A 25871-nucleotide genomic window follows, 5' to 3' on the forward strand; every position below is an offset into this window, starting at 1 on the left:
CAAGGGGGATTCCTCCCAACACAGTGCACCGACACCTCCAAAAGGCAGCCAGTTCTTCATTAAGTGGGTTCCTGATCCTATCACTCCTGACTATGTGAGATCCCCCTGTAGGAGTCACCAGACACCTTATACAGGAGCATTCCCACCAGCATCAGGTCAGTATCCCTCTGGGATGGAGCTCCTTGAGTAAGGAGCAAGCAGCCATCTTTGCTGTTTTGCAGCCTCTGCTGGTAACACTAACAAGAGTGGGAGGGACACAGGTGAATAGGGTCTGGAGTGGACCCCCAGCAAACCGCAGCAGCCCTATGGAAGAGGGGCCTGATAAAGGAAAACAAACAAACCAAAAGCAAAGCAACAACAATATCAACAAAAAAGATCCTACAAAAATCCCATCCAAAGGTCAGCAGACTCAAAAATTGAAGGTAGATAAGCTCACAAAGAGGAGTAGAAAACAATGCAAGAAAACACCGAAAGCTCAAAAAGCCAGAGTGCCTCTTGTACTCCTAATGATTGTAACACATCTCCAGCAAGGGCACAGAACTGGGCTGAGAGTGAGATGGATAAACCGACAGAAAGAGGCTTCAGAAGGTGGGTAATAACGAATTTCACTGTGCTAAAGGACTATCTTCTAACCCAATGCAGAAAAGCTAAGAAACATAATAAAACATTACAAGAGCTGTTAACCAGAATAACCAGTTTAGAGAGGAATATAAATAACCCGAAGGAGCTAAAAAACACAACAGGATAGCTTAACAATGCAACCACAAGTATCAATAGTCAAATAGATCAAGAGGAGAAAAGAATCTCAGAGCTTGAAGACTATCTTGCTGAAATAAGACATGAAGGCAAATTAGAGAAAAACATAATAAAAAGGAATGAACAAAACATCCAAGATCTATGGGATTTTGTAAGAACACTGAACCTATGATTGATTGGGGTACCTGAAAGAGACAGGGAGAACAGAACCAAGTTGGAAAACATACTTCAGGACATCCAAGAGAATTTCTCCAACCTAGCAAGACAGGCTAACATTCAAATTTAGGGAATCCAGAGAACACCAGTAAAATACTCCATGAGAAGATAACCCCCACAAACATAATCATCAGATTCTCCAAGGTCAAAATGCAAGAAAAAATGCTAAGGGCAACCAGAGAGAGAGGTCACGTCACCCACAAAGTAAAACCCATCAGACTAACATCAGATCACTCAGTGGAAACCCTATAAGCCAGAAGATATTGACGGTCAATATTCAATATTATTAAAGAAAATAATTTCCAACCAAGAATTTCAGATCTGGCGAAACTATGTGTGAAACATTAGCGAAGGAGAAATAAAATCCTTTTCAGACAAGCAAATGCTGTGGGAGTTTATCACCACAAAGCCTGCCTTGCAAGAGCTCCTGAAAGAAGCACTAAATATGGAAAGGAAAAACCATTACTAGCCACTACAAAAACACACTGAAGTACACAGACCAACAACACTATGAAGCAACTACATTAACAAGTCTGCAAAACAACCAGTTTACATCATGATGATAGGATCAAATTAACACATAACAATATTAACCTTAAATGTAAATGGGCTAAATGCCCCAATTAAAAGACACAGACGGGCAAGCTGGATAGAGTCAAACTCATTGGTGTGCTGTATTCAAAAACCAATTTCATGTGCACACATAGGTTCAAAAAAAAGATGAAGGAAAGTTTACCAAGCAAATGGAAAGCAGAAAAAAAGCAGAGGTTGAAATCCTAGTTTCTTACAAAACAGACTTTAAACCAACAAAGATCAAAAAAAAGACAAAGAAGGGCACTACATAAGGATAAAAGGTTTAATTCATCAAGAAGAGCTAACTATCCTAGATATATATGCATCCAATACAGGAGTACCCAGATTCATAAAACAAATTCTTAGAGTCCTACAAAGAGACTTGGACTCTCACACAATAATAGTGAAAGACTTTATCACTCCACTGTCAATATTAGACAGATCATCAAGGCGGATAATTAGCAAAGATATTCAGAACTTGAATTCAGCTTTGGATCAAGTGGACGTGACAGATATCTACAGAACTCTCTAACGAAAAACAACAAAATATACATTTTTCTTGCCACCACATGGCACTTACTCTAAAATTGATCACATAACTGGAAGTAAAACACTCCTCAGCAAATTCGAAAGAACTGAAATCATAACAGTCTCTCAGACCACAGTGTAATCAAATTAGAACTCAAGATTAAGAAACTCACTCAAAACTACACAACTACATATAAATTGAACATCATGCTCCTGAATGACTCCTGGGTAAATAACAAAATTAAGACAGAAATCAAGAAGTTATTTGAAACTAGTGAGAACAAAGAGACAAAGTATCAGAACCTCTGGGATGCAGCTAAAGCAGTGTTAAGAGGGAAATTTATAGCACTAAATGCCCACATCAAAAAGCTAGAAAGACGTTAAATCTACATTCTAACATCACAACTTAAAGAACTAGAGAACTAAGAGCAAACAAACCTCAAGGGTAACAGAAGACAAGAAAGAACCAAGATGTGAGTGGAACTGAAGGAGATGGAGACACTAAAACACTTCAAAAAAATCAATGAATCCGTTTTTATGAAAAAATTAATAAAATAGACCATTAGCTAGACTATTAAAGAAGAAAAGAGAGAAGAATCAAATGGATACAATAAAAAATAATAAAGACCATATCACCACTAACCCCACAGAATTAGAAACAACCATCAGAGAATAATATAAACACCTCTATGCAAATAGAGTAGAAAATCTAGAAGAAATGGATAAATTCCTGGACAGGTACACTCTTCCAAGATTGAACCAGGAAGAACCTGAATCCCTGAATAGACAAGTAACAAGTACTGAAATTGTGGTAGTAATAAATAGCCTACCAACCAAAAAAAACAAAAACAAAAACACAGGACCAGATAAATTTAGAGCTGAATTCTACTGAATATACAAAGAAGAGCTTGTACCATTTTTTTCTGAAATTATTCCAAACAATTGAAAAGGGGGGACTCCTCCCTAACTCATTCTATGAGGTCAGCATCATCCTAATACCAAAACTTGGCAGAGATAAGAGAAAAAAAAAACAAAAACTTTAGGCCAATATCCCTGATGAACATAAATGCAAAATTCCTCAATAAAATACTGGCAAGCCAAATCCAGCAGCACATCAGAAAGCTTATACACCACAGTCAAGTAATCTTAATCCCCAGGATGCAAGGCTTGTTCAACATATTCAAATCAATAAATGTAATTCATCACATAAACAAAATTAAACACAAAAACCACACATGATTATCTCGATAGACGCAGAAAAGCCTTTAGATAAAATTCCACATTCGTTCATGTTAAAAACTCTCAATAAAGTAGGTACTAAAGGAACATACCTCAAAATAATTAGAGCCATTTATGATAAATTCACAGCCAATATCATACTAAATGGGTAAAAGCTGGAATTACTCCCCATAAAAACTGGCACAAGACAAGAATGCTCTCCCACCACTCCTATTCAACATAGTATTTGAAGTTCTGGCCAAGGCAATCAGCCAAGAGAAAGAAATAAAGGGTATTCAAATAGGAAGAGAGGAAGTCAAATTTTCCCTCTTTGCAAATGACATGAACCTATTTCTAGAAAACTCCATCAACTCAGCACAATAGCTTCCTAAGCTGATAAGCAACTTCAGCAAAATCTCAGGATACAAAATCAATGTTCAAAAATCACAAGCATCCCTATAAACCAACAACTGACAAGCACAGAGCCAAATAATGAGTGAACTCTTATTCACAATTGCTTAAAATATGTAAAATAAAATAGCTAGGAATACAGCTAACAGGGGAAGTGAAGGACCTCTTCACAGAGAACTATAAACCACTGCTCAAGGAAATGAGACATGACACAAACAAATGGAAAAACATTCCTTGCTCAAGGATAGGAAGAATCAATATCATGAAAATGGCCATACCGCTCAAAGTAATTTATAAATTTAATGCTATTCTCATTAAACTACCATTGACATTCTTCACATAATAAGAAAATTAAATCTATTTTTAGATTCAGAGTGAAGCAAAGAAGAGCCCATATTCCCAAGAGAATCTTAAGCAAAAAAACAAAGCTGAAAGCATCACACTACCTAATTTCTAACTATACTACAATGCTACAGTAACCAAACAGCACGGCACTGGTAGAAAAATAGACACATAGACAAATGTGACAGAATAGGGAACTCAGAAGTAATTCTGCACATCTACAACCATCTGATCCTTGACAAACCTGACAAAAATAAGCAATGGGGAAAGATTCCCTATTTAATAAATGGTGCTGGGAGAACTTGTTAGCCATATGCAGAAAATTGAAACTCGACCTGTTTTTTACACATTATATGAAAAATAACTCAAGATAAATTAAAGACTCAAATGTGAAACCTAAAACTATAAAAGCTGTAGAAGAAAATCTAGGCAATACCATTCAGGACATAGGCATGGGCAAAGATTTCATGATTAAAACATCAAAAGCGATTTCAACAAAAGCAAAAGTTAACAAATGAGATCTACTTAAACTAAGGAGCTTCAGCACATCAAATGAAACTACCATCAGAGGGAACAGACAACCTCCAGAATAGGAGAAAATTTTTGCAATCTATCCATCAGACAAAAGTTTAATATCCAGAATCTACAAGGAACCTTAACAAATTTACAAGAAAAAAGTAACCCCATTAAAAAGTGGGCAAAGCCATGAACAGATATTTCTCAAAAGAAGACATCTGTGCAGCTAACAAAGAAATGAAAACAAGCTCAACATCACTGGTCATTAGAGAAATGCAAATCAAAACCACAATGCGATACCATATCACACCGGTCAGAATGATGATTATTAAAAAAAAAAAAAACAAGAAACAACAGGTGCTGGAGAGGCTGTGGAGAAATAAGAACGATTTTACACTGTGGTGAGAATGTGAATTAGTTCAACCATTGTGAAAGACAGTGTGGTGATTCCTCAAATACCTAGAACCAGAAATACCATTTGACCAAGCAATCCCATTACTGGGTATATACCCAAAGGAATATAAATGATTCTATTATAAAGATATGTGCACATGTATATTAATTGCAGTACTATTCACAATAGCAAAGACATGGTATCAACCCAAATGCCCATCAGTGATAGACTGTATTAAGAAAATGTGGCACATATACACCATGGAATACTATGCAGCCATAAAAAGGAATGAGATCATGTCCTTTGCAGGGACATGGATGGAGCTGGAAGCTACTATACACAGCAAACTAATGCAGGAACAGAAAACCAAACAATGCATGTTCTCACTTATAAATGGGAGGTGAACAATGAGGACACATAGACATATGGAGGAGAACAACACACACTGGGGATTGTCGGGGGTATGGGAAAAAGGAGGGAGGGCATCAGGAAAAATAGCTAATGTATGCAGGGCATAAAACCCAGGATAGGTGCAGCAAATCACCATGGTACCCATTTACCTATGTAACAAACCTGCACATTCTGCACATGTGTCCTGGAACTTAAAATAAAATAAAAAGTTAAAAGAAATAGTAAAAGTCTTAGAATATTAAAATAAATAAAAAAAGAGAAATATGAAATGGAAGTATTTTTTATAATAGAAAATATAGGATAAAATGCAATCAATACATATATAAGAGGATAGATAAATGATAGATATGATAATAATTCTAATACAATAATTAGATGATTTGAAGATACTAGAATATTTTAAGTAATCAGAATAAACCTAATATTTTGATAAGGTTAGTAATTAGATAAACATTGCTGAACTTTTCAAATGAGAAATAAGGAGAACAAAAAAATTAGTTGTGAGGAAAGAATAACCACAGATACTGAAAATATTTAAAAAGCAATATGGGATTATTATAGGAAATTATATGGCAACACATTTGAAAACCCCCCAAAGTGGACAGTTGTTCAACAAAATATATATTACTAAAACTGGCACACAAATTAAGAAGAAATATGAATAAAATAATCTGAAAAGGTCTTAGAAGCATGATTACAGAAGTATCATATAAAATAAACATAATAAAATCAACTTGCCACCGTATCTTTAAGGTTTAAATAAATTTATTACATTAACAATTTGCAAAAACATATAGGTGTAGTCAGAAACTCCCCAATAATATCAGTTGCATTTTCTTTTTCTCTTACTTTAATGGTGTTGTACAAGATGGACTATCTTTTTCTGTGCTAGAGTTTTTGGCTACTTTTAATTGGCTGTTTTTAACTCATCCAGCTAAACTTTCTAAATTTACCTTCTAGGTAGTTTAGCTGCATAAGCAGCTTTCTACTCATTTCTCTCTACTTGCAATTTTTCTGCTAAGAGTGACGTTTGATAATGAGATGACATTAAGGCCCAGAAGAAGAGGAAGAGGAAATAATATTTTGCTTTTGCCACACTTGTAAAATAGTGTCATTAAGGAAAGTTTAGAACTACACATTTTTTGGTTAGTAAATATACTGCATCCCAAGTTAAGTGTAAAAAATGACAGTAAATTTGAATTATGTTACTTGTTTCTTAATCATTATGTCAATAAATATTCTTAAGAACCTCTTTTGTGACATGCACTGTGATTGTTAGGGAAACATATGAGAACAAGCCAGATCCACTTCCTGTTTTGTGGGGTTTGCATATGTACATGTATTGGTAGTATCTGGCCTTAAAGGATTACAGATAGGCCTTAAAATATTTGGCCCAAATGTGTACTTCCAAATCACCTTCCACTGATATATAAAAAAAATAAAATTTCGTCTTTCATTTTCACATGGTCAAAGTGCTTTACAATTTGTCTAGATTTTATATATTTTTGGGGTGATTTGTAGGATATATTTTATGTACACTTACATTGCCATCACACTCATTCAGTCTTTATTTTATTTTTATATAGGAACACAGTGATGCACATTTTGCTTAATTTAATCCATACATCCTTAGAACTACAATAAAAAGTCCCACAAAATTAAGGGGACACTTGATAAATTAATTCTAAATTGTTTATGGAAGAACAAATGGTCCAGAAGAGTTTCCGCATGTTTTAAGAACAATAACAGCAGAGGACTTGAAAAATTTATTATCTTTTTGCTATTAGTATACTGAAAAATAGATTAGAATGAAAAGACAAGTTAATTAATGGAGTGAATGGAGAGCCCTGAATAGGTACAGAATTTGCAAACTGGGAGGAAATATTTATCATTCATATTACTAGCAATTACTAACTAAGAATATGTAAAGAACTTATACCACAAATCAACAACAATAGAATATAAAAATAGACAATACATGAAAAATATTTCACAGATAACGAAACATATGGCCAACAATTAACAAAAAACCCTCCTTGCTCTTGTTGACTCTCAGTAAAACACAATTCAAAAGAACTTAAACACCACTTTTTATACCCTTTCTTTAGCAAAAATTAAGTTTTGGTAATATCAATGTTGGCAAGGATGTGGATCATTTTTACTTATAAAAGTTAAATTGTAAATTCCTCCAACCATACTAAAACAATTGGAAATCATTTTATGCAGTTAATCATTCAAATATCCTATGATTCAAAATTCCACAAAAGTGGAAAGGCTTATACCAAAAAGAGAACTTTGAACATAAATATCAGTTAGAATATTTAAGAATGTTTATAACAGTACTTTCATAATAACAAAAAACTAGAAACATGCCAAATGTCCACCAAAAATATGGATAAATTAATCTGGTATACTGATACAATGATTATAATATAGCAGGAAAAATAAATGAAGTGCAACTATATATACAACTACATGCATAAATTTGCATAAGAAACTGCTATGAGAAGAGGCATATTAAGATGACTGCATGCAGTATGAGAAATATGTAATATGGTTTTCTTGGGGGAAAATGGTGGCTAGGAGACAGGACTAATGTGCAGCTTCCACTTGAATGGACAGAAGAGTGTGTGGAGACTCACATCATGAACTTTTGCTGCAAGAACCACTGCAGGACCATACCAGGAAAACAAAAGAATTCACAGACCCATTTGAAAGAAGTGGCTAGCTACTGCAAACTCTGTGAGATAGCCAAAAAACTGTGAGTTCTCAAAGTGTTAGCGGGCGGAAAGTCTGCCTCTGAATACACATCCGTAATGGAGAACCTGAAAATCCAGATCACAGGAGATGGATTTAACCTTACCTATAGCTGAAACAGTAAGGGAGCTAAGCGAAATATAAAAGTAAAAGAAACAGTGTAAAGAACCCTGTAGGCACTCCCAGTCCCTAGCTCAAGCCCAAAGAAGTCATCCTTGACTTTATTTCACAGGAGTTCTTGGGGAAGGTAGCCAGTAGAATTAGGGAGGGACCAAAGGGTGAAAGAGGCTTCTAACTGAACTTTGTAATAATTTCAACCAAGCCCAAATTTTTCTGAGCAGGATCTGGGGAGTGAGCTGCAAGTGCAGATACAAGCACAGAAGCCACAGCCAATGGTGCAGGCATGTGTTGGGGAGAAAGGCCTGAAAGCCCTGCTTGCTTTCTCAATAGGGAGGCTTGTAGCTTGGGGCAACATCTCAGACCTGCTCACCAGCTGCTGGATACAAACTGGGTGCTGTTGGTGTGGCATGGTGGGAGTGAGGCTGGCCTTGCTGGCTGTGTGGGAGCTCGGTGAGGCCCATTACTGCCAGCTTTCCCCCACTTCCCTGGTAATCTGTATGATAATCACTAGAACAAGTAGAAGAAAAAACTTTAGAGCTCGAAGACACAGCTTTGGAATTAACACAATCTGACAAAGACAAAGAAAAAAGAATTTAAAAAGTGAACAAAGCCTCCAAGAAATTTAGGATTATGTTAAATGACAACACTTAAAAATAATTGCTGTTCCTGAGGAAGAAGATAAATCTGAAAGTTTGAAAATCTTATTTGAGGGAATCATTGAGGAAATCTTCCCTGGTCTTGCTAAAGATCTAGACATTCAAATAAAAGAAGCCCAAAGAACACCTGGGAAATTCATTGCAAAGAGATTATCAAGTTATCTAAGTCAAGACAAAGAAAAGAATTTTAAGAGCAGTGAGGCAAAAGCATCAGGTAAACTATAAGTGAAACCCTACCAGATTAACAGCAGATATCTCATCAGAAACCCTACAACCCAGAAGGGATTGGGGTCTTATATTTAGCCTTTTTAAACAAAACAATTATCAGCCAGGAATTTTGTATTCAGTGAAACTAAACTTCATAGATGGAAGAGAGATAAAATATTTTTCAGACAAACAAATGCTTAGGAAATTCCCCACTACCAAGGCAGCACTACAAGAAATGCTAAAAGGAGCTATAAATCTTGAAACAAACCCCAAAATACACCTCTTTAAAGCATAAGTCTCACAGAGCCTATAAAAAAGTAACACAATGAAAAAAAAAAAACAAGGTATTCAGACAACAACTTGCATGATGAATAGAATAATACCTCATATTTCAATACTGACGTTAAATGGAAATGGTCTAAATGCTCCACTTAAAAGATACAAAATAGCAGAATGGATAAAATTCCACAAACCAAGTATCTGCTTCAGGTCTTCAGGAGAATCACCTGACACATAAGGACTCACATAAACTTAAAGTAAAAAGGTAGAAAAATATATTCCATGCAAATGGACACCAAGAGTGAGCAGGAATAGCTATTCTTGCATCAGACAAAACACACTTTAAAGCAACAACAGTTAAAAAAGACAAAAAGAGACATTGTATAATGACAAAAGGATTAGTCCAACAGGAAAATATCACAATCCATAATATATATGCACCTCATACAGGGGCTCCCAAAGGTAGAAAACAATTTCTATTGACCTAATAAATGAGACAGATGGCAAATCAATAGTAGTGGGGGACTTCAGTACTCCACTGACAGCACTAGACAGGTCATCAAGACAGAAAGTCAACAAAGAAGCAAAGGACTTAAACTGTACCATAGAATAAATGGACTTAACAGATATTTACAGAACATTCTACCCTACAACTGCAGAATATACATTCTATTCATCAGCATATGGAACATTCTCCAAGATAGACAATATGCTAGGCCACAAAACAAGTCTTAATAAATTTAAGAAATCAAAATTATATCAAGTACTCTCTCAGACCACTGTGGATCAAAATTGGAAATCTACTCCAAAAGGAACCCTGAAAACCATGCAATTACGTAGATAATAAATAATCTGCTCCAGAATGATCATTGGAGAACAATAAAATAAAGACGGAAATTTAAAAATTTTTTGAACTCAATGTTAATGGTGACACAACCGATAAAATCCTCTGGGATACAGCAAAAGCAGTGCTAAGAGTAAAGTTAAGAGCATTAAATGCCTAAAACAAAAATTCTGAAAGAGCACAAATGGACAATCTAAGATCAAACTTTAAGGAGCTAGAGAAACAAAAACAAACGAAACCAAAACACAACAGAAGAAAAGAAATAACAAAGTTCAGGGCAGAATTAAATGAAATTGGAACAAAAACTGCAAAATATAAGTGAAACAAAAAGCTTATTCTTTGTAAAGATAAACAAAACTGATAGACCATTAGTGAGATTAAACAAGAAAAGAAGAGAGATCTAAGTAAACTCAGTTAGAAACAAAATGGGAGATATTACAACAAATACCACAGAAATACAAAAAAAAAAAATCATTCAAGGCTAGTGTAGACACCATTATGTGCACAAACTAGAAAACCTGGAGGAGACTGATAAATTCCTGGAAACATACACCCCTCCTAGATTAAATCAGGAAGAAATAGAAACTCTGAACAGGCCAATAACAAGTAACAAGATTGAAACAGTAATTTTAAAATTGCCAACAACAACAAAAAAAGTCCAGGGCCAGATGAATTCACAGTTGAATTCTATTAGACATTCAAAGAAGAATTGGTACCATTTCTACTGAAACTATTCCAAATGATAGAGAAAGAGCAAATCCTCCCTAAATCATTCTATGAAGCCAGTACCACCCTAAGACCAAAACCAGGAAAAGACATAACAAAAAAAAAAAAAAGAAAACTATAGGCCAATACCCCTGCTCAATATACATGCAAAAATTCTCAACAAAATACTAGCTAACCAAATCCAACAGCATATCGAAAACATAATGTATCATGATTAAGTGATTTTATACCAGGGATGCAGAGATAGTTTAACATATTCAAGTAAATAAATGTGATACACCACATAAACAGAATTAAAAACAAAAAAATAATATGATCATCTCAGTAGACACAGAAAAAGTATTTAATACAATTCAGCATCTTTTTATGATTAAAACCCTCAGCAAAATTAGTATGGAAGAAACATACCTTAAGGTAATAAAAGCCATTTATGACAAACCCACAGGCAACATTATACTGAACCAGGAAAAGTTGAAAACATTCCCTGTGAGAACTGGAACAAAACGAGGATGCCCACTTTCATGACTCTACTCAACATAGTACTGGAAGTCTTAGCCATAGCAATCAGACAAGAGAGAGAAAAAAGGGGCACACAAATTTGTAATGAGAAAATCAAACTGTCACTGTTTGCCAATGATATAATCATATCATTTAGAAAACCCTAAAGACTCATCTAGAAAGCGCCTAAATTTGATAAATGAATTCAGTAAAGTTTCAGGATACAAAATCAATGGACACAAATCAGTAGCATTGCTACACACCAATAGCAGCAAAGCTGAGAATTAAATCAAGTACTCAACTCCTTTTACAAAAGCTGTAAAAAAAATTAAATAAAATAAAATACTTAGGAATATACCTAACTAAGGAGGTGAAAGAGCTCTACAAAGAAAACAATAAAACACTAGTGAAAAAAAAAATAGACAACACAAATGAAAACACATTCCATGCTCATGGATTGGTAGAATCAATACTGTAAAAATAACCATACTCCAAAAAGCAATATATAAATTCAATGTGATTCCCATCAAAATACCATCATCATTCTTCATAGAACTAGAAAAAATAATCCTAAAATTCATATGGAACCAAAAATAGCCTGCATAGCAGAAGCAAGTCTAAGCACAATGAACAAATCTGGAGGCATCACATTACCGGACTTCAAACTATGCTACAAGCCTATATAGTTACCAAAACAGAATGGTAGTGGTATAAAAACAGGCACATGGACTAATGGAATAGAACAGACAACCCCAAAATAAAGCCAAATACTTATAGCCAACTGATCTTTGAGAAAGCAAACAAAAACATAAAATGGGAAAAGGACACCCTATTTAACAAATGATTCTGGGATAATTGGCAAGCCACATTTAAAAGAATAAAACTGAATCCTCATGCCTCACCTTATATAAAAATCAACTCAAGATGGATCAAAGACTTACATCTAAGAAATGAAACCATAAAAGTTCTAGAAAATAACATTGAAAAAAACCATTCTAGACATTGGCTTAGACAAAGACTATATGACCAAGAACCCAGAAACAAATGCAACAATAACAAAGGTAAATAGAAGGGACTTAATTAAACTAAAAAGCTTCTTCACAACAAAAGAAACAATCAGCATATTAAACAGACAACCCACCAAGTGGAAAAAAAGTCTTTGCAAATAATGCATCTGACAAATGACTAATATCTAGAATCTATAAGGAACTCAAACAAATCAGAAAGAAAAAATATAATCCCATCAAAAAATGAGCCCAGGGCATGAATAGACTATTCTCAAAAGAAGATACACAAATGGCCAACAAACCTATGAAAAAATGCTCAATATCACTAATGATCAAGGAAAGCAAATCAAAACCACAATGAACGACAACCTTACTCCTGCAAGAATGGCCATAATCGAAAAGTAAGAATATAATAGATGTTCGTGTGGAGGTGGTGAAAAGGGAACACTTTTACAGTGTTGATAGGAATGTAAACTAGCACAACCACTATGAAAAACAGTGTGGATATTCCTTAAAGAATTAAAAGTAGATCTACCATTTGATCCAGCAATCACATTGCTAGAGGAAAAGGAGTCATTGTACGAAAAAGATACTTGCACACACGTGTTTATAGCACCACAATTTGCAATTGCAAAAATATGGAACCAGTCCAAATGCCCAAAAATCAATGACTGGATTAAGAAAATATTATATAACATGGAATATATATATATATATATATATATAATGGAATACTACTTAGCCATAAAAAGGAATGAAATAATGGCATTCACAGCAACCTGTGTGGAATTGGAGAATAGTTTTCTAAGTGACATAACTCAGAAATGGAAAACCAAACCAAACATTGTATGTTCTGTTCTTATTCATAAGTAAGAGCTAAGCTGTGAGGATGCAAAGGCATAAGAATTATACAGTGGACTTTTGGGGCCCAGGGGAAAGGGTGGGAGGGGATTGTGGGATAAAAGACTACACATTGGGTACAGTGTACACTGCTTGGGTGAAGGGTGCACCAAAATCTCAGAAATCACAACTAAAGAACTTATTCATGTAATCAAACACCACCTGTTTCTCAAAAACCTATTGAAATAAAAATTAATTTTAAAAAAGAGCAAAAAATGAGTAAATTATGAATAATTGTAATTTACAGCCATTGTCTTTCAAAGCATGAGGTCTCTGGAGGAGGAAAAAGCAAAGCTAAGTGGCCCTGTGGTAAAATGATAAAAAATAGATGTTCTTTATTTTTAGGCATAAATTATAGATGATAAGAGGTTTGGCCCCTAAATGATGATTGGGTCATGAGGGTTCTGCGCTCATTAGTGGATTAATCCATTTATGGATTAATAACTTAATGAAATATCATGGGAGTGGGTTACTTATCATGATAGTGGGATTATAAAAGCCAGTTTGGCTGTCCGTATGCATGTCTCACACTGTGATGCCTTTTGTGACATTATAACACAGCATGAGGCCCTCACCAATAGCTGATCAAGTATGGCCACTCAGTCTTGAACTTCCCAGGCTCCAGAATTATAAGAAATAAAACGTTTTTCCTTATAAATTACCCAGTCTTGAGTATTCTGTTATAGCAACAGAAAATGGACTAAGAAGGATATATATATATATAATATTTATATAAAATAAGTATTTATGCTATGATTTATACTAGTACTATATAGGAGACTGGGATATATACTAGGATAAATTTTATATTTATCATTCATATTTTATATAGATATATGCATGTACTAGGATATATGTAGAATATGTAGTATCCTAAGTATATACTATATAGTATATACTATGTATACTATATATAGGTCATACCATATATATACTACATATGGTATACTATATGTTTGACATATGTCTTAGTGTATGCCTATATAATAAACATACATATATTCATACAATTAAAATTTTAGTGTGTGTGTGTGGGTGTATCCTGCTATCATGTAATTTTAATATGCTAAAATTTTATTTAAGCAAGAAATAGTCTAGTTGTTTCATCATTAAAAACTTTAGGAGGCAATACTAATCATAAATAATGCTATACATCCTCTTAGTCTTAATGGTGAGGAAATGATGGCAAATGTCAACTTTGCATGTGTTGTATTACATCCTAGGTATAATGTAACAGGAGCAATCCTATTGTTAAGGATTCTTTATTATGAAGGCATTAACTCATATGGTATGGTAAAATTATATGAAAAGTTGTTTATGTGAGTATGTCTTTCTTTGATTACAATCTATTAAAAAGTCAGAATGGGCTGGGCACAGTGTTCATGCCTGTAATCCCAGCACTTTGGGAGGCCGAGGTGGGAGGATCATGAGGTCAGGAGATCGAGACCATCCTGGCCAACATGGTGAAACTTCATTTCTGCTACAAATACAAAAATTAGCCGGGCATGGTGGCGCGTGCCTGTAATCCCAGTTACTTGGGTGGCTGAGGCAGGAGAATTGTTTGAACAGGGAATCAGATGTTGCTCTGGCAATAGAGCGAGACTCCGTCTCAAAAAAAAAAAAAAAAGTCAGAAGGAACATTGTGCTCTGTTGCCAATCATTGCCAAACTAAGTACTTGTGAAAATATTTGATAAATGATGGGGAGGGAAACAATGTTATTACTAAAATAGAAGATTCCTATCTTATCTGGATTATTTATTGCTTTGTTTAAACTAGTTTTCAAAGACAATGTTTTTAAATGTAGGCACCTAATACTGGACTGTTTAATTCATAGACAAAGTGCCCGTAACATCTAAACTATCATACAACTAGTTATAACTGCAGTTGACCCTTGAACAACATGGGTTAGAATTGCACAGGTCCATTTATGTTAAGGGGATCGATAATACAGTATTCAAGGAATGCAAAATAAGCATATATGAAAGCTCTACTTTTCATATCCACCAGTTGCACAGGGCCCACTGAAGGGCTTGAGTATGTGGGGATTTTCACATATGTGGAGTTGGAAGAGTGGTCCCAGAAGGAATACCTTGCATGTAGCTAGAGGCAACTGTAAACTGTGTGACTCAAATTTCCTGAATATAAATGTATTCATTGATGTGACAACCTCAACTATTCGGAATGCTTCTAGGAATGTGGAATTCAGTATTGAAGTCAGGAAGTCTATGTGCTAAAAAAATTTCTAAGACATTATCTTCAAACCTAGTTTAATTTTGAACAAAATTCTTGCAAGTTTGGCAAGATGGCTTTTCAGCTCACAGAAGCTTACATGTAGTAAATAAGAGAGACAGATTGGGAAGAACTTGGGAACTGCTGGTGGCAGATATAGAGATCAAGAACATGTCCTTGAGTAGATGAGTGGAGACATATGATGACAATGAGACAGTTCTGCTCTTTAGAATCTCACCTAGACAGGCATAGCCTGCCTGACTGTGAATGAAAACAAAATATAAAAAAATCAAATTATACAAAAAAGATCATTTGGTGGGAAGGCAAAAAGGTTAATACTTTTAAACATATTTCAAAGAGTTTACTTGCCCTTGAAATCTTTGTTCTATTGCTGTTCATTATTAACAATTTTTTTTAAGTATATCCGACTTCATTAAGAGAAGACTAACTTATATTCATCCACTATTTTAAGTATATGTAAAGGACATAGTATGCTTGGGAAATCTCTAAATGTCATTTGAAAATATAAAGATAAGCTCTTAAAAACTGAGCATAACTCAGCTGGAATGTTATCTCACATGCAAGCTTATTCTGTATGTCAGTTAGGATCTTCATGAAAACTTAAAGTTAGTTTGGTAAATTCAAAGCTATAGAAAATAGGAAATAGACGTTCTTATGAATGTAATACTGTATGTCTAGTGATTTCAGAAATAGCATCATGCAAGACAAATAAGCAAGCTATGTTGTGTCTTGTAATTATGAGTAACAGTTCTTAAGATTTAGCAAGTAGATGTAAATACCTCACGTAAAGTAACTCTGCCGCATCTCTGAAGACAAGAACAATAGTTAACATTTACCTAGTCGATCATTGCACATCATTAGCTTCTCTTGACCCTTTAAACTGTTATGGTAGCAAAGAAAAGCAGATAATAGGTAAAAACTGTGCTTTTATTAATACATTTAAGATTTTAGGCTCATTAAACTTAATATTTAAGATACTTCTGCAAAAGAGCAAGAGTACATAGACACAGCTTTGAAAGAGTTGTGTTTTGAAAAAAAGTTTTATAAAATGTTAAAATATAACAATAGAAATCATGGAGCACATTCAAGCAAGTATTCCTTCATTTGCTAATAAGGTGATTTTCCATAGCAAATATTAAAATAAAATAATTTAGTTATATTCATATTAGTTCTGTGTAGCAGTTTTATGTCTGTGTCCATTGCTTACTGGTCTAATTTAAGACTACAAATCACATACACACACAAAAAAAATCTCAATGTAGATGTTCCTTTCTGTTTTTTAAAATGCTTCTATACATACAGTCTCATTTTTCACTCACAACTCTAGCAAAGGTGTTGTTATTTACATTATAAGCATTTTGCATCAAGAAGGGAAAGGGAACAGATACTTGTATTACAAGACGAATACTGATGAGAATTATCATTTGTTTAGAACTTATTATGCTTTTCATACACTAATTTAATTCACATTATCACTTTATAAAATAAGCATGCCATTAAAATAATCACTTAGCAGATTAGAGTTTTAATAAATGATTTTGCCCAAAGTCACGCAGCTACTAAATGATGAAGCCACGATTTGAAGGCAGGTTTTCTGTCTGATGCATCAACTGCTCTAAGCTTTCAATTTAAGTATATTATCATATTTGACCACAATTTATTACCCTTGCTTTACAAATGAGTCAACTGATATTCAAAACATGTCAATGAATTGTTCTCTGATTTAAAACCCAGCCTTCTGATTTTGAGAGTTGTGATCTATGGTAAATACATGGCTAATTAAAATATATATATATATATATATTTTTTTTTTTTTTTGAGACAGGGTCTTGCTCAGTCACCAGGCTGCTGTGCAGTGGCACAATCACGGCTCACTGCAGCCTGGAGTTCTCTGGCTCAGGCGAGTCTTCCCCGTCACCCTCCAGAATAGTTGGGACTACCATACCCAGTTAGGTTTTATATTTTTTGTACAGACATGGTTTTGTCATGTTGCCCAGCCTGGGCTCCAATTCCTGGGCTCAAGCTATCTGCCCATCTTGGCCTTTCAAAGTCCTGAAATTATAGGCGTGAGCTACCATGCCCAACCCAAAATGTATTTGAGAAAGGTTTGCTTTCTTTGCAGCTCACAACAATACGTTTTTTTACATGTATCATCAAGAACACGTGCCAACTGTATGATTTTTATAAGATAATCATTATATCAATTTTTTTTTACTGGAGCAGGCTACAGCTTAGGAGGAGTTGGAGACAGGTTGGAACTATAGGAGTTGGGGACAGTTGGGGAGAGATAGGTTAATTTTTGTATAAATATTATGCAAATATTACAACATTAATTTTTACATAAAATCAAAATTTTCTACTTATTATCTACAGATGTCGTAGGGGCACATATTAGTGAAATAATAAATTGGCCATGCAATTTGTTTGCAGTTAATATAATATTTTGATGAATATCCTTTTTTCTGCCTTTATGTTCTTTATTGTAACAATAAAGAAAATCAATTTAGGAATTACACTATTGTGTTACTAGGGATGCAATCTTTTCTACAAACTGAAACTAGCTCTAAGGTTATTTGCGATACTATATTTAGATATTTTAATGAGGGTCAGGGCCCGCTTGAGTTGCAAGTGAGTTGCAAATGACATGGCAATCATTCTTTCTTCCAAAGAACCAAAGGCTGCTTATTTATTTATTTATCTTTGTTTATTTGTTTTTTTGCAAGAAATGTATGTTTTATATACATCAACTTGATTTCAGCATAATTATCAAATTATTATGAAATTTCTGGTATGGCTAGCTCTTTCTGTCTCAGAATGTAAGAAAAAATTGAATATCAAAACAGTTGTTTAAAATTTCTCTTGTGTCTTTGGAAAAAAGTTTATCTTACTCTTTAATATATTTGGTTTCAAATACATCATTTTTATAAATTATAAAATTCTAAAAGAGCAGAAGTTACATGTCCATAGCTCAATGAATATAATAGCAATATCTGCTCAAGATCTGCTGAGACTTGCCTGTAGTTTTATCTGTAGTTTTCTAGTGACACATATTCTGCACTGTTTCACATAGCTTAAAATAACAATTAGGACAAATAACTAATGCATGCGGGGCTTGAAACCTAGATGACAGGTTGATAGGTTCAGCAAACCACCATGACACATATATACCTATGTAACAAACCTGCATGTACTGCACATGTATCCCAGAACTTAAAGTAAAATAAAAAAAGTTAAAAATTAAAAAAAAATACCAATTAGGCCTAAAAGGACACATAGCTTTACTACAGGTATATGTCAGCAATATTGCAGGTTTGGTTCCAGATCATCACAGTAAAGTCAGTCACATCAATTTTCTGTTTTCCCAGTCCATATAACAGTTGTATGGACACTATACTGTATTCTGTTAAGTGTGCAATAGCATCATGTCTACAAGAATGTAATTTAATTAAAGCTTAATTTAAAAACAGCTTATTGCTAAAAAATACTGGCACTATCATCTAAGCCTTCAGTGAGCCATAATCGTTTTGCTGGTGGAGAGTCTTGCCTCCATGCTGATGGCTGCTAACTTATCAGGGTGGTGGTTGCTGAAGGGTGGGATGGCTATGGCAATTTCTGGAAATACAAGAAGAGTGAAATTTGCCTCATTGATTGACTCTTCCTTTCACGAAAGATTGCTGTGTGGCATGCAATGCTGCTTGACGGCATTTTACGCCTAGTAAATATTTCTTTCAAAATTGGAGTCGGTCCGCTCAAACACTGCAGCTGCTTGACCAACTAAGTTGATGTAATATTCTAAATCCTTTGTTGCCATTTTAACAATATTCATAGCATCTTCACCAGGAATAGATTACATCTCAAGAAACTGCTTTCTTTGCTCATCTATAGGAAGCAACTCCTCAACCACTCAAGTTTTACGATGAGATTGCAGCACTTCCGTCACATCTTCAGGCTCCACTTCTAATTCTAGTTCTCTTGCTACTTCTGCTCTAATGGCAGAAAATGAAGTAGTGTGACAGACAAGTAGGGAGTTCATTTTGAGGTTCATGTTCTTTTCTCATATTTTTCTTTAATTTAACCTACTTTTGCTCCTTGAATCATAGAAGAGCATTTAAATCATTATTTCTTCCTTCAGTAAGAGTGATCTTACAGCTAGATTTGGACAAAACTCCATGCTTACCTCTAAGGGGTACCTGGAATCCTGGTTCTGATTGGATGGGCTAAATAGTGACTTAAAATGTGCTTTTAATATGTGAAGCTTCTCTGGCAGCACCTAGGGCTAGCTTGTTTATTTATGTCTTATTGTTGGTACAAAAGTTTAATTCACCTGTCCTGGCTGTGTGACCAGTAGGTCATATAAAACCACAATGGAAGCATTTGCATGAGCCCCCCTGAAGTCAAGATTCCTGTGGTAGGCCAAATAATGCTTCCTCTGAACATATGCATGCCCTAATTCTTGGAACCTGTTAATGTCATTCTATATGGCAAAAACAAAGAATAACAATTTGCAGATGTGACTATGTTAAAGATCTTGAGATGGGGACATTATCCTGCATTATTCAGGTAAGCTCTAAATGCAATCACATGTATCCCTATAAGAGTGAGGATGAGAAAGATTTGACACACACAAAAGAAGAAAAAGCAATGTCATCAGGAAGGCAGAGATTGGTGTGAGGCAGCCACAGGTCAAGGAATGCCAGCAGCCACCAGGAGTCACCAGGAGCTGCAAGAGGGAAGTAACAGTTTCTCTACTAGAGCCTTCAGAGAGAGAATATCTTTGCTAGAAGTGTGATTTTGGGCTCAGTGATGCTGAGTTTGGAACTTTAGCCTCTAGAACTATGACAGAGTGCATTTCTGTTGTTTGAAGCCCTCAGAGCAGTGGTAATTTGTTACAGCAGCCACGTAAAACTAATACAATTCCTCACACACATCTTGGTGGTTCATGATCTGGAAACAAATGCTAATTCCGTATGACTAAGAAATGATCCAGGAGAGCAGAGCCTGGCAGTATGTTGGGCCCTGTTCCTGGCCTGTGCTGTCTTTCTACTTCATACTATAACCTTTGCCTTTATTAGAGACTTCCTGAGTATGCTCTGTGGAAGGTTGTGAATGTTTTTAATTATCTGAACTGTGTAACATATGCAGTTAACATTATGAAGATTTTTGCAATAATTCCTGATTTGTAATTTTAAAAATGAGTAAGGCTTTACTTGAGAGATAGAAAGACAAGAAAAGTAAGAGTGAGAAATCATTGTTGCCTTTGGGCTTCCGTGGGGTGAAGTCACAAAAACACTGCAAGCATTGATGAGACAAAATTGTATCAATGCCACTTGCAGTTGGTAGATCAAGGTTTAGGGGAAGTGCTAAATCCAAAACAATAAAAATTCTAATAAAGAGGAAGTATTAGCTGCTTTTGTCTCTTTTAGCAGAAATAAAAGTAAATGAGAAACAATCCAAGAATGCTAGAACCATAAAGTTATGGCTGGTGACTGAGTTTGTAAAGCAAAGGGGTATATTTATTTATTCCAAGAAGGAAGTCAGGAAGATATCTGTTTTGATCAAAAAGATTTATGTCAGGCTAATAATGAATGAAATTGTTGTACAGGTTGTACATTCTGAATCCCTACTGAAATAAATTTTGCACATGGAAATATCTCCCACACCATAGCCATGTTGACTGGAGCCCTCAGGAAAAGCCAAGACACCTACCCATCAGCAACTGCTGGGGTTTTGGGCTAGAAAGTAATCTGACACTCATTGCAAGGCAGTTATTTGTCTGTGATTGGGCATTTGTTGGATGTTATCCTAAGGAAAATTATAAAATTATTTTGAGATCTGAAATGTCCATTGTTTATGGTTTTATGTAAAATCTTCATTCCAACAGGTAAGAAGATGTGCAGGAGAGGTTCCTTATTGAACAAAATAATATGTCCAAAATATAGATCAGGGGAGCCACTGGAAGTGCCCATCATCCATATGAGCAGGTGACGACTATGACTTCAGTCCTATGTTAGCTTCCCTGAGGAGTTTTCTAACTCCATTGCTGAAAGAGTTTCCCTCTGTAATCAGTTATAATCAGATGATGCCAAACATGAATCAGAGTTTAAGGATAGTTGCTCAAGAGTGAAGGGCAGGCACTCAACCTGGAAACTAGCTGCATTGCAGTGCATTAATTGCTGTAATTTAACTGATGAAGAAAAAGATAAACCTGGTGAATGGGCAGAATTAAATAGGTAATGCTTATGACATTAAATAAACTAGCTAATAACAATATTAATGTGGTATTATGACTTTTTATTGATTCTTGGGCATTAGCCAATGGAAATAGGCCTTTGGTTGACTGGCAGACAAAAGGAGCTCCAGATGGTGTACTATCTTATAGAAGTCTTTATGGACTTGGAGGGGGAAAATCTAAGTGAGGCTAGACTAGGGCAGACCTTACTCTAGGATGTGGTCCTTATTCCTAAGATGGAACTTTTCTGTTTTAGGTGGATACTGGGATCTTAAAGAAGTGTTAATAGAGCCTTTCTATACTGCCTGGGCTGAAACTTTACATCTCCTAAAACTCTTTGACCTCTACTATCTTGGTCCTGCTCTCAATATAATATTAGCCATATTCTGTAATAATCATGTGGTTTTTCCCTATGGATGTGAAGCTCATCTTTCAATCTTAAATAAGTACTATTGCCTTAAAAGACACAATTTCAGTATTTTTCATGGCCTTCCTAGTTATTCTGTGTAGAAGCTCGCACTAGGTATATAACCTGCCCTAGAGCAGAAATCTCTTTAAGCTGAATTTAGTTTTTCAAATGATATTCTCTGTAGTTCTGGTGTTAAAATTTTTAAACTTGATACTCCTTCCCACTTGCTTGACTTATTGTTCCTTCTTTTCTCACATATCTCATGAGTATTTTCTTGCAAACTCTCCTAATTGTAAACTTTTAACTACTGTTTTCACTTGTAAGATACACTATATCCTCATAGTTTCTTATTGTTGACAAATATACATTTGCAAATCTATAAACTTAATATAGCCCTAGTTTAAAACCAGGAAGAGAAATACACTGTATTTATAGTCTAGAGCTAATGTGGTGATTAGCATTTCATCAAAATTAACATAGAATTAGCATATTAGAATTTTGTTCTCCACAAACCAGAAAGGTTTAAACCTGCAAAAACAAAGATATAATATTTAAACTTGCAAAAACAAAGATATAATATTTATCTAAATTTTACACTAAGAAAGTTACCTTCATATTACCTTTGACAGCCTTTCAAGTACCCACTTAGAGCTAAATGTACCAATCCTGCATTGCAGCTCCAAGAAAACCACCCCGTCAGAGGTAGCCACTGGGCTGAACATCCAGCAATTCAGGAGTAACTTGTGTGGACTGGTAGACAATGCCCACACTAGCCTTTCTTACCCCCTAGTAATGCCTTGACAAAGTCCAAGATTCTGAAATATAATAAAATGATGAGAATTTTTTTTTAGAAATTAAACAGAATTATTGAGAACAATATTTATTTCACAATAGCAATTATATTATATTTCTTAGTAAGATTTGAACAAAAATTCCTATCCATTAGAGTATCAGTTCTTGCAAAATTCTTCCCTTTTAATCAGTCAATAGCAAAATATATGCAAATTATACCTTGCTTTACAAAAAAGAAAAAAAGAGATACATCTTCACTAGTTCTGATGCACATCTGACCATTTGCAAAAGTATCTTTTGGTAATTCAATTAGAGCATTTGACATTTCAGTAATACTTTCAGTCATGTAGTTATGTTTACATCCTCAAGAGGGCACTTTGATATAAGCTAAATCTTCCCAGAGCTGATAACAGTTCTCTATGGGCAGAATACTGATTTTACTGAATTTCTGCCTTTCAATATAACATTTTTCACATGTAGTCTTTGAACTTTTTACAGTAAAACCTAATATAGGTGTGTGCTTCTTTAATTGTGTAAAATGCAAGATTTTTGTCAACTTAGGCAAATGTCATTTTTTTCTTTCATCAGTTTCCCTGTTATGATAGATGTTGTCAGATCATCAAGAATCTTAAGGGTATTTTTCTTTCTGTGACTGATAAGTAAAATTAAGAGTGACACTTGGTTGATTCTATGGGATTAATTTCCAGTGTTATCTAGTTTTCATGTGTTTGTGTTCTAATTAAATGTGTATATTTAGCAATATCTCAATCCATTTACAAATTCTCTTTGAAGGAAGATTCTCTTTACATAACAATTCTGAATTATGAAGGTGTTAGGATAAGTTCTAGGATACTTATGTTTAGGAGAAAGATAGCAACTAGCCAGTCTTAGGTTTAGGTATCTCTAAGGGAGACCAGGATTGGAAACAGAATAACAAAAACATCATTCTCAGTGATATAGTGTTTCCAAGACTGAAGCCATACGCAGCAGTCAAAAAAAGATACCCTTGCAAGAGAAGAATGTGTCCTTCAATGGTAAGGAGAGTCTGAGAGTAAAATTTCTCTTTCTGTTGGAGATGAGAGAGGTGCACAATTCTGAAGTGAATATTTATGCCTCTTTAAGTATTTTAAACTTGATTTTCTAGATAATATAGCCTACTTATTACATATTGTATTTAAATTATTGTAGTATTAATTACTATACATTTATTTGTTTGGAATATTGACAGATAAATAATGAGATACTGAAGGATAAAACAGAACTAGAGTTTTAAGGTATTTAATATATTTTGATATTTAAGTTTGCTAAGGTTTAAATGTTGATCATCATTTCAATACTTTAATAATTTTGTATTTTTTCACTCTATGTTCTGACCACTACCTTCAGTATCAGATTTTTTTAAACTCACACCTAGGTTCAGACTCTATGTAGATTTAATTAAGTTATAAAATAAGAAATCAGCCTATACAACTTGGAAGAAAACAAAAATATGAAAAACACATGTAAAATGTTGAAGATCACATTTGCAATGAATTATCTTACTTGCCAATTTCAGGAATGTGTAACTGGAGAAGTTGCTTTATAGGGAAATGCCCTCTATTTGCTAAAAGTTATTTTCATAGGCCCCTTAGCTAACATCATACTGTATTTATTTAATATAAATTTATTATAGCTACTACCAAATGTCTGCATGCCATGTCAGGTTACTTAATTTTCTATCCCAGTGTCCTTTATGATGGGAGAATTCAAGCTTGAAATTGTCTACTCAAAATTTCAACTATAGGTGTCAAATACAATTGTAAGAATTAAACTTCAATTTTGTTTGGGTCTCTTGGCAGCTAGAATAAAAGAGAAAGGAAAAGAAAAGAAAAAAGAAATCAATGCTGTTTCCTAGGCATGGTGGCTCACACCTGTAATCACAGTACTTTGGGAGGCTGAGGCAGGCAGATCACTTAAGCCCACGATTTCGAGATAACCCTGGGCAACAAGGCAAGACCCAGCCTGTACCTAAATAAATAAATAAATAAATAAATAAATAAATAAATAAGAATAGCTGAATGTGGTGGCACACGCCAGTTTTCCCAGCTACCTGGGAGGCTGAGGTTGGGAGGATCATTGAGGCCAGGGCACAGAGGTTGCAGTGAGCCGAGATGGTGCCACTGCACTTCAGCCTGGGCAACAGAGTGAGACTCGGTCTCAAAAAACAAAACAACAACAACATCAAACAAAAACAAAAACAAAAAACATGCTGTTAGTTGTATGCCGACCCTATTAATCAAATCATACTTAGGTTCAGTATATAAATTAGTGTATACTCGAGAATTATTGTTGGATTTCTTTTCTGGGACCCAGGAGGTATCATAAGGACACTAAAGAAGCCATATTAAAGTGCAGTATCTGGGTTGACACATTTTGTTTCAGGAAGGAGTAACTGTGCAGAATTGGAACAAAGATCCAAGTCTACTAGCTATCATAATCATTTCTTGGCACAAGAAAGGTTCCATTTTAAATATACTGAAAATACTGGAAATAGGACATATCCATAAGTAAACCATTCATTAATATGTGTCATGCTCCATGTATCCTCCTTGGAAATCTGGCCACAAAAACACTCAAAAGGATAAGTCCAAGATGGGACTAGCAGACTCCTCTGGAGAAGTATGAGAAAGAAAAAATCCTGACACTCATGTATAGGGAACATGAAAATCTCAAGTAAATAAAATATGTCAGTAATAATAAACATTACAACTGATTACATTTCACCTAGTAGTTTTGTTCAACAAGTGTAGGACTTCTAAATTAATTAAATCGAACAATGAAAACTGACATTA

The sequence above is a fragment of the Homo sapiens genome, chromosome 7 (assembly GCF_000001405.40).
Source record: "Homo sapiens chromosome 7, GRCh38.p14 Primary Assembly".
Classification (NCBI taxonomy): Eukaryota; Metazoa; Chordata; class Mammalia; order Primates; family Hominidae; genus Homo; species Homo sapiens.